The sequence below is a fragment of the Homo sapiens genome, chromosome 6 (assembly GCF_000001405.40).
Source record: "Homo sapiens chromosome 6, GRCh38.p14 Primary Assembly".
NCBI classification, from domain to species: Eukaryota; Metazoa; Chordata; class Mammalia; order Primates; family Hominidae; genus Homo; species Homo sapiens.
Genome location: NC_000006.12, coordinates 30,717,396 through 30,727,488, shown reverse-complemented (window position 1 = coordinate 30,727,488; position 10,093 = coordinate 30,717,396). Strand labels below are relative to the sequence as shown.

The 10,093-nt window shown below is 50.0% G+C and overlaps 1 protein-coding gene across 7 annotated transcripts, besides 2 other annotated features; it reads right to left on the bottom strand.

Moving 5' to 3' along the window:
* Positions 2,067 to 7,137, bottom strand: TUBB (tubulin beta class I). Of its 7 annotated transcripts, NM_001293213.2 has the most exons (5): positions 6,926 to 7,137; positions 4,844 to 4,952; positions 4,461 to 4,571; positions 4,058 to 4,149; positions 2,067 to 3,451 (listed from the first exon to the last, which is right to left on the bottom strand). In NM_001293213.2, exons 1-5 carry the CDS (start codon positions 6,980 to 6,982, stop codon positions 3,092 to 3,094), a joined length of 729 nt encoding a protein of 242 aa, NP_001280142.1. In that variant the 5' UTR covers positions 6,983 to 7,137; the 3' UTR covers positions 2,067 to 3,091. The 7 variants fall into 7 exon arrangements, 6 of the variants coding, with proteins under 6 accessions (NP_001280142.1, NP_821133.1, NP_001280141.1 ...); NR_120608.2 differs by lacking the exon at positions 4,058 to 4,149 and having other exon boundaries at positions 2,067 to 3,550; NM_178014.4 differs by having other exon boundaries at positions 2,067 to 4,149.
* Positions 6,613 to 7,511: an enhancer, noted in NCBI's record as "H3K27ac hESC enhancer chr6:30687755-30688653 (GRCh37/hg19 assembly coordinates)". NCBI's record gives its function as "activates a minimal SCP1, AML or CMV promoter by ChIP-STARR-seq in naive and primed H9 embryonic stem cells {active_cell/tissue: H9 hESC(naive and primed)}" and the evidence as "EXISTENCE:reporter gene assay evidence [ECO:0000049][PMID:30033119]".
* Positions 9,316 to 10,063: an enhancer, noted in NCBI's record as "H3K27ac-H3K4me1 hESC enhancer chr6:30685203-30685950 (GRCh37/hg19 assembly coordinates)". NCBI's record gives its function as "activates a minimal SCP1, AML or CMV promoter by ChIP-STARR-seq in naive and primed H9 embryonic stem cells {active_cell/tissue: H9 hESC(naive and primed)}" and the evidence as "EXISTENCE:reporter gene assay evidence [ECO:0000049][PMID:30033119]".

The window sequence follows — 10,093 nt, the reverse complement described above, 5'->3', positions numbered from 1 at the left end:
AGCAGAGGTTGCAGTGAGCCAAGATCGCACCACTGCACTCTAGCCTAGGTGACAGAGTGAGACTGTTTCAAAAAAAAAGAGAAAAAAAATGAATGCTAGACTCAGGTATGGTGACTCTTGCCTATAGTCCTAGCTACTTGGGAGGCTAAGGTGGGAGGATCACTTGAGCTCAGGAGTCTAAGGCTGTAGTGAGCCATGATCACACCACTGCATTCCAGCCTGGGTGACAAAGCAAGATCCTGGCTCTATTAGAAAGAAAATGAATGCTAGAATGTAGCTTCTTCCCTTGCATACAATAGGCTTTCTTGCATACAATAGGCTTTCTAGAATGGGAGAAAAGCAAGTTACTTATATACTGTCAAGAGTTTTAGAGTTAATTTTTCCCCCCAACAGTGTATTATAGTCAGAAAAGCATGCTAAAATAGAAGGAATGTTGGGAATAATACTAGTTCCTAGAATTCCTGAAAACATGGCAAAAGGAATTATTGTTTTCAGGGTAGCTTTGAGACTTGCATTGTGAACTTAAAAGTATGAGGTAGTAGATGGTACAGATTGTTTTAGAATGGGACCATAAGGTAGCAATCCCGCCTAGTTATCCTTTTTTTTTTTTAAAGACAAGGTCTTGGGCTTGGGCCGGGCACGGTGGCTCATGCTTGTAGTCCCAGAACTTTTTGGGAGGCTGAGACGGGTGGATCACTTGAGGTCAGGAGTTTGAGACCAGTCCTGGCCAACGTGGTGAAACCCCATCTCTACTAAAATACAAAAATTAGCCCGGCGTGATGGTGGGTGCCTGTAATCCCAGCTACTTGGGAAGCTGAGGCAGAATTCCTTGAACCCGGGAGGCAGAGGTTGTAGCGAGCCAAGATCGCGCCAATGTGCTCCAACCTGGGCAACATAGCAAGACTCCATCTCAAGAAAAAAGAAAAAAAAAGACAAGGTCTTGCTCTGTCACCCAGGCTGGGGTGCAGGGGTAGGGTCAGGGCTCATTGCAGCCTCTACCTCCCAGGCTCAGGCAATCCTCCCATCCAATCCCCACCCCCCTACCCCCAACAACCACCACCCCCCTCTACCCCAGCAGCTGGGACTACAGGCATGCACCACCATGCCCAGCTTTTTTTTTTGTTAGATGGTTCACTGCTGCCCAGGCTGGTGTGGAACTCCTGGGCTCAAGCCATCCTCCTGCCTCGGCCCCCCAGAGTGCTGGGATTACAAGTGGGAGCCACCATACCAGGGCTTCACTAGTTATCTTGGTGTCATAGGTTGACTAAGCCCACAGGATCACAGGAAATGGCCATGGGTACACATAACCCAAAGGAATCCTGGGCTGGGTGGCCAAGGCCAGTTCAACCATTTATGGTTCAGTACATCTGGGTGGGATGAAAAACTTGCATTTATTTCTGCAAGTTCCCAGAGGATGTGGATGCTGGTCTGGAAACCAGTTACACGTGATTTGTCATTCTTCTCAGCTTCCATTTTCCATCCCTGGATCCTGCATCTAAGCCTATGCCTTCCCCAGTTAAGACTCATTGGTGGGCCTGGTGCACTGGCTCACCTGGCTTATGCCTACAGTCCCAGCTGCTTGGGAGAATGAGATGGATTGTTTGAGCCCAGGACATCAAGGCTGTAGTGAGCTGTCAGAGACTACAGTAAAGACTGACTGGTGCTCAGAGCAGTTTGGGTACCAGAAACAATGATGTGAGGGTCTATAAAGCAGTCAGTGTCCTTACCAGTACCTCCCTGAGATACCAAATCGGCAGACACCCAAGTCCCTCATATAAAATGTAGTACTTGCATATAACCTGTGTACTTCAAATCATCTCTACGTTACTTGTAATACCTAATCTAATGCAAATATTATGTAAATAATTTATACTATTATTGTTTAGGGAATAATGAGAAGTCTATACATGTCCAGTACAACTCTTTTCCCAATATCCAGTTGGTTGAATCCGTAGGACAGGGACTCAATATTAAGTGTCAATTTAAGGAGAGCAGTGCAACTGAACTCAGGCCCCATGCCTCCATCAGCCAGCCGTGTTTCCCTAAATAAGCACACATCTCGCAGCTTTTTTCAATTCCCATTTATTTTTGGCTCTTGGGGCGATGTCATCTTTTCAATATGAAAAAAAGCAGCAAGTTCAACATAAAATAGAAATCTCAAATGTAGGATAGAACAAAACCAAGTGTGTGAGGGGGGAAGCAACAGCAAAAGGAAGAAATGAGATGTTGCAAAAAAGATGGAGGAGGGTTCCCCTCTCCTCTGGGGACTGACTCAAACACTGATGTGGCAGTATACACCACTCCAGAGTCAGGGGTGTTCATTCTTTTTTGGGAGTAAGAAAAGGTGGGGATTAAGAAGACGTTTCTGGAGGCTTAGGGACCAAGGCTGGTCTCTTTCCCCCCTCCCAACCCCCTTGATCCCTTTCTCTGATCAGGGGAAAGGAGCTGAGTGAGGGAGGTAGAGTTGGAAAGGGAAGGATTCCACTTGACAGAGTGGGACAGACTCCTCCAGAGTAGAGCTTGGAGGGAGATTGAAAGTGGAGATAATACTGCTGACACCTCCCTTGAAGCTGAGATGGGAAATGGACATACTTAGAAATTTAGTGACTTTAATAGCCTGGATTTCCCTCTCCAAAACTTTTAGAATGGAAAATCCCATCCCCTTCCTTATATAGTGACTTCTACCCACTACCTTCTACCATTTTCTACTTTGGGCTTAGGATGATGGCCATTATCTACATGTGTTTTCAGCACCTGGTTGGTTCTAAATGGGATCTGGAGACCCAGCTTCTTGGAGATTTTTAAGAGGAAGTATTAACTGGACAAATGGAATGGGCACCAGAAAGAAATACAGGGTCACCCAGAATGGCAGAAACCTAGGTTTCCCAGAGTGGAAAGAGAGAGGAGACATTCAACAAACAAGTATTTATTGAGCGCCTACTATGTGCCAGGCACTGTTCTAGACCCCCCCCAGAAGAAAAAACAAAAAACAAGATAGAGGCAGCAAACACAAATTCTGAGGGAGAGGAAAGGGGCAGTTGAGTAAGACGGCTAAGGGAACTGAGAAGCCTGAGGTGATGGGGGCTCTGCCTTAGGCCTCCTCTTCGGCCTCCTCACCGAAATCCTCCTCCTCTTCTGCGGTGGCATCCTGGTACTGCTGATACTCAGAGACGAGGTCGTTCATGTTGCTCTCAGCCTCGGTGAACTCCATCTCGTCCATGCCCTCGCCTGTGTACCAGTGGAGGAAGGCCTTCCGGCGGAACATGGCAGTGAACTGCTCCGAGATGCGCTTGAAGAGCTCCTGGATGGCTGTGCTATTGCCAATGAAGGTGACTGCCATCTTGAGGCCACGAGGTGGGATGTCACAGACGGCTGTCTTGACATTGTTGGGGATCCATTCCACAAAGTAGCTGCTGTTCTTGTTCTGCACGTTAAGCATCTGCTCATCGACCTCCTTCATGGACATCCGACCACGGAAGACAGCAGCCACGGTGAGGTATCGGCCGTGGCGGGGGTCACAGGCAGCCATCATGTTCTTGGCATCGAAGACCTGCTGGGTGAGTTCCGGCACTGTGAGAGCTCGATACTGCTGGCTTCCACGGCTGGTGAGAGGGGCAAAGCCAGGCATAAAGAAATGGAGACGTGGGAAGGGGACCATGTTGACTGCCAACTTGCGGAGGTCAGCATTGAGCTGGCCAGGGAAACGGAGGCAGGTGGTGACACCACTCATGGTGGCTGAGACAAGGTGGTTCAGATCCCCGTAGGTTGGTGTGGTCAGCTTCAGAGTGCGGAAGCAGATATCATAGAGGGCCTCGTTGTCAATGCAATAGGTCTCATCAGTATTCTCTACCAACTGATGGACGGAGAGGGTGGCATTGTAGGGCTCGACCACGGTGTCAGACACTTTGGGTGAAGGCACCACACTGAAGGTATTCATGATGCGATCAGGGTATTCTTCTCGGATCTTGCTGATAAGGAGAGTGCCCATTCCAGAGCCTGTGCCCCCGCCCAGTGAGTGGGTCAGCTGGAAGCCCTGCAGGCAGTCACAGCTCTCTGCCTCCTTCCGTACCACATCCAGGACAGAATCAACCAGCTCGGCGCCCTCTGTGTAGTGGCCTTTGGCCCAGTTGTTACCTGCCCCAGACTGACCTGGAATGCAGTCAGGAGAAAAGCTCAATTAACAGGGTATGGAAGATACATGATGTTTCCATCTTTCAACTTTTCAAATAATTCCCTCGGATGTATCTTCTTTCTCCTTCACTGTGATATATTCTCCCCCTACTGCCCCATAATTTACCAGCAATAGTAGGCACTACCTCTACCCTCCGTTAGATTTCAGAACACATTTCTGTATTAGCACTCCAATACAACAATCATCTCCTAACTTTTGCTGTGTCCTTGCACCCAAATAAGTTGAACACGATGGTATATCATCTGCTAATATCATCTGTATAACTCACCAAATACAAAGTTGTCTGGTCTAAAGATCTGGCCAAAAGGACCTGAGCGAACAGAGTCCATGGTCCCAGGTTCTAGATCCACCAGGATGGCACGAGGAACATATTTGCCACCTACAGAGAATAAAGTTAAGAGCTGTGAAATCTGGCAGAAGGGAAGGTTTATAGATATACTGGAAATGGGAGACAGCAGGGATCAGAGACTTGTCATTCCAGGTCCCGCCACCAGGTGGCAGCAGACGTCTTTGGCCCCGACGGTGGTTCACGAAAGGGACAAAATGACAGATTCACCCAAAGGGGATAAGGCGTGCCCAGAAATGGAAAGAGATCCCAGATAAGTGGGAGACAGGGAAGGGAACCTGAGCTGCCCGGGCTCCTGCCCTTACCTGTGGCTTCATTGTAGTACACAGAGATGCGGTCCAGCTGCAGGTCGCTGTCCCCGTGGTAGGTGCCGGTGGGGTCGATGCCATGTTCATCACTGATCACCTCCCAGAACTGCCGAGGGGGAGCAACGAGACCACAACAGGTCAAGTCCCAGCCAACTATGTCCCCAACTACCATTTTATTTCATCTTTTTCTTAATTTTTTTTGAGACGGAGTCTCGCTCTGTCACCAGGCTGGAGTGCAGTGGCGCTATCTCGGCTCACTGCAACCTCTGCTTCCCGGGTTCAAGCGATTCTCCTGCCTCAGCCCCCGGAGTAGCTGGGACTATAGGCGCGCACCAACACGCCCAGCTACTTTTTGTATTTTTAGTAGAGACGGGTTTCACCATGTTGGCCAGGATGGTCTAGATCTCTTGACCTCGTGATCCGCCCACCTTGGCCTCCCAAAGTGCTGGGATTACAAGGGTGAGCCACCGCGCCCAGCTTCTTCTAATTTTTAAGACAGGGTCTTCCTGTTGCCCAGCCTGCAGTGCAGTGGTGCAATCACGGATGACTACAGCGTGGAACTCCCAGGCTCAACCGATCCTCCCATCTCAGCCTCTCGAGTAGCTGGGACCACAGACGCGCGCCACCACGCCCAGCTAATTTTTTACTTTTATTTTTTGTAGAAACGTGGCATGGGGGAGGGTCTCGCTTTGTTGCCCAGGATGGTCTCGAACCCCTGACCTGGAGGGATCCCAATTCGCCCACCTCGGCCCCACATCTCCCATTTTAATTCCACAAGCGCTCAGGCCGTTGTTCTAGGGCATGGCATCCCGTGGGCCTGCCACACCCTTCCCCTAGACACTCGCTCCCCCGAGAAAGCCACAGCTTTCCCTGCTCTGGATATGTGCAGCGGGTCCCAAGTGCTCGGTGGGCGGATGGAGGTCGACCACACTTCGATAAGCGCCGCTCTCCTTCCCCCAAGCTGGGCACCGCCCCACCGCGCGGCGCACAAAAGGCTGGGGGTCTGAGGAAAGAGCTGCCGCCGCAGTCGACCACCCCCCCCGCCCTCCACGTGACTGCGGCGCACGCGCAGGTCGAGCCGCCGACAAAAGACTTCGCGCGTGGGCGGGGCCAGGGACAAAAATTCCGCGCGCGAGGGGCGGGGCCCAAGGTAGCGCGCCCCTGCCGGCGGGCAACGCCGCATTGTCCCCGCGCGCCCACGGCGCCCCGGCCCCGCCCCGCAGGGCCCCGCCCTTCTGCTACAACGTAGCAGCCGCACTTCCTCCCGCCCCTCCCCCGCTACACTGTAACCGCGCGCAAAAAAAAAAAATCCCCCTTGGCCTCGGAATTTTTATTCCTTCGCTACATTTCTACCCCTTGATTTAAAGGATTCTTTCTCTCCCATTAAGTCCTGAGGGACTCATTAAAGAAAACCACACACCCCCATTTTCTCGACATATCTGTTCACGCCCTAAAAAAGTCTCTCTTAGGGGCCATGAAAGCAAGTAAAATTAATCCCGTTCTTATTCTCCTTCCACCCAGGAACAAATACAGGACCGGCCCTCTGGGGTCGCGGGCGCGTTGGGGTCCCTGGTCTTTTGTGAAAGGTAGCGCCCAGCGCAGCCCACCCTGGCGCATCGCCCCCCACCCTTGCGCTGGAGCTCTCTGCAGCCGCCCGATGGCCTCACCCCTTCCCGCTCCGGTTTGGCCCTAAGTACCCCGCAGGGGGGTTGGGCGGGATGCACATGGGCAAAACCTCGCCCCGCTTTGTCTGCGACCGTTTCCGCATCTCTCTCCCTGCCCGGTTCTCGGACCGTTAGAAGCCCTTTTAAGTAACATCTTATAAGTCCTCGGTCTTCCCGCCCCCAAACCCGAAGAGCCCTTTTACTAGTTTCTCCAAAATGTGCCTGCCAAGAAAAATGATTCCCAGCTTTCCAAAGGCAAATGCTAGCTACAATTGTTATATATATAAATGTAACAAACTTGAGAGGGGCAAATCTTGATTAAGGATAGCGGGTGCAAATGCCCCACAACCATTTTTTCATAACTTACCTGGATTTTTCCTTGTAAAAAGAAATAAAAGAGGTGTAAAATTCTTACCTTGGCACCGATCTGGTTGCCACACTGACCAGCCTGGATGTGCACGATTTCCCTCATGGTTAAAATTTAATTTTTTTGCTCGCCTCAAGGTATGTATGGGGCAAGAAAATAAGTAATTTTTTTTCTCCGCAGGTCGCAGGCTGGAAGGTTGGAATGCGCCCCAGAGGCTGGAGCAGCGAGGTGCAAACGCGACGGCAGGAAGGTTCTGAGAGGGAGAAAGGAGAGGGGAGGGCGCGGAGGGAAAGCAGGCTGGGCGGGGCGCGCGTGCGCCGGGGCTGGGAGGCGGGAGAATCGGCCCCGCGCGCGGTAGGGAGACAAAGCCTCATCGAGCCTGGCCCTGATTAGTCGATGCCGGTCATGTACCAGGCGTCCATTGGCCTCTGAGCCAGTGGACGAGCGCAGTCCTCTTTGGGAGTTGTAGTCCCCTATTGTTGTCCATGCTGCAAAATGAAGTGACGAATGGGTGGGTACCGGTTTGGTTTTCATGGGGTTTTTGTTTTGTAAATGAAAAACGACCTTGCGCAAGATTCCTTTCCTCTATGCCTGAGGTTTTTGTACAAAAAGTGAGCAGTTCTTGGGGGTACAGGAATTGAGAAGTCTGGGGTTCCAGAAGTTGGGTGGTGGGGAAGACACGCCCTGAAAGCTCCCAGCTGCAGTACCTCTAGGGGAGAAAGGATTGCTTAGTTCAGCGAAAAATGGGGAGAAGTCTGGCACCGTGCTCTGCCTCCCCTGGCCTTTGGTGACCCAAGGCATGAACTTCAGTAAGCTTCTGCTCCCTCAAATACTTCAAGAAGGGAATCGCCCTCTTGCTATTTCCTTGGAAATTTTCGAGCCATTGTTTTGAAAGAGAAACAAAATTGCAGCAAGGGCTTTTCAGGATAGCGATGTTGTCTGGAGAGTATGTTCAAAGAATAAAATAGTTTAGAGAAACCGACATCGGGGATTTGTGAAACTAGAAGTCTCCTACGTGGGTAGGAGATCTGGACCTTAGGGCAGACTTTGAAGACACCTTGGTCTTCTTGTCAAACAGGGAACTATGGAATGAGATGCCTGATAGATTTTCAGTTTTTTCAGCCTGCCTCTTTAGACATGTTAATGAAGTCAGTGGTTTTTCAATTCGCTGATTTCACTGACCAGGTGGCCGCCACTGCAACTCTGCAAGAGACCCAGTATTGAAAAACGAGAGAGGGGTAATTGATGGGGGAAAAATTGAGTGGGTTCAAGACGGAGTCCATCTGCTTCTTCCCATAGATTTATTATTCACTTATTTGATAGTTACTATGTATCCACCAAATTAGGAGCTATGGTTACAAAATGATTAAGAATTAGCTCCCTGTCCTCCAGGATGTTGCAGTCTGGTGAGAAGCATACAATCAATAAAATGTGGTAACCACTCAGAAATGTAGTATCAAGTCAACGTCATTGTTAATTCACATTCGATCACACAGATCAATGTATTTCTTTTTTTTTTTTTTGTATTTTTAGTAGAGACAGGGTTTCACTGTGTTAGCCAGGATGGTCTCGATCTCCTCACCTCGTGATTCGCCCGCCTTTGCCTCCCAAAGTGCTGGGATTACAGGCGTGAGCCACCGCGCTGGGCAGATCAATGTATTTCTAAGTTGCCTTCTAAATGAGGGAACATCAACTTGTGTAAGCCCTCTCTACCCACTTAAAATATAATGCTTTACGTTTTAGGGAAATGAACACAGTCATTTTGTGGGAGTAGAAATAACTCAAAATACACAATCAGATAACTTGTTTCAATTTGTCTCTATATTAGCTGTAGGATCCTAGGAAAGTCCTTTAACTTTGCAGGGCTCCAGCTCCTCGTTTGTAAAATCTGCTTATTTGACTGTTGTGCACAGAATTGAGATAACCAACAGAAAGGACTTTATGAATTATGCAAGTGTTATAGTTACCATTTTCTTCATGTCTTATTGTGAGATAAAATAGGCCGGGCGCAGTGGCTTACGCCTGTAATCCCAGCACATTGGGAGGCCCAGGCGGGAGAATCACCTGAGGTCCGGAGTTTGAGACCAGACTGACCAACATGGAGAAACCCCGTCTCTACTAAAAATACAAAATTAGCCGGGCGTGGTAGCGCATGCCTGTAATCCCAGCTACTCGGGAGGCTGAGACAGGAGAATTGCTTGAACCCAGAAGGCGGAGGTTGCGGTGAGTCGAGATCGCGCCATTGCACTCCAGCCTAGGCAACAAGAGCGAAAGTCCGTCTCAAAAAATAAAATATAGATGGCCGCATGCGGTGGTTTACGCCTGTAATCCCACCACTTTGAGAGGCCGAGGCGGGCGGATCACCTGAGGTCAGAAGTTCGAGACCAGCCTGACCAACATGGAGAAACCACGTCTCTACTAAAAATACAAAAATAAGCTGGGCGTGGTGGCGCATGCCTGTAATCCCAGCTACTTGGGAGGTTGAGGCAGGAGAATCGCTTGAACCTGGGAGGCAGAGGTTGCGGTGAGTCGAGATCGCGCCATTGCACTCCAGCCTGGGCAACAAGAGCAAAACTCCATCTCAAAAAATAGATAAATTAGTTAATTAAAAAATAAAAATAAATGATTTTATGATCCTTCCCTCGCCCCTCGAAAGGTGGGGACAGCCTTTAAGACAGAGAGCAAACCAGTTTTCTCTGTTCGACTACAGATCTTTAGGATCTTGGATTTAAGAAAATGACCTCAAAATGTCCGTCAGAGACGTATTCCCAGGAAGAAAGATATTACTTCTACTACAAACCAAATCAAAAGGAAATGAAATTCCAATGCAACAGGAGTGAACTGCCACGCCTACGGGCTGTTCTCCAAACTGCAGCCTCCAGCCACGACTGCAACGCGCAACCCACTTTCATTTCTCATGAGTCAGCGGACACCATGTCTAGGAGGACCGAGGAAAGGCGCTCTGGCCTTACCAGACACGTCGGACGTCTATGACACAGCCCCTCTATCCGTTGCCGGCAGCTGGCGCCAGACTCTCTGGTCGCGGTTTGGAACTGCGCGGGAAGTGGGTGGTGGGCGGGCAAGCGGTAGTGGGTTGTCCCTTGGAGCTGCCCAATCGACGTGCATTATTCTGTTGGCGCACGGCGGCCTTCAATTACCGTCTCATTAACTGATCTCAGCAGCCTGGGAGACACCACCTATTTGAACTCTAAGGGG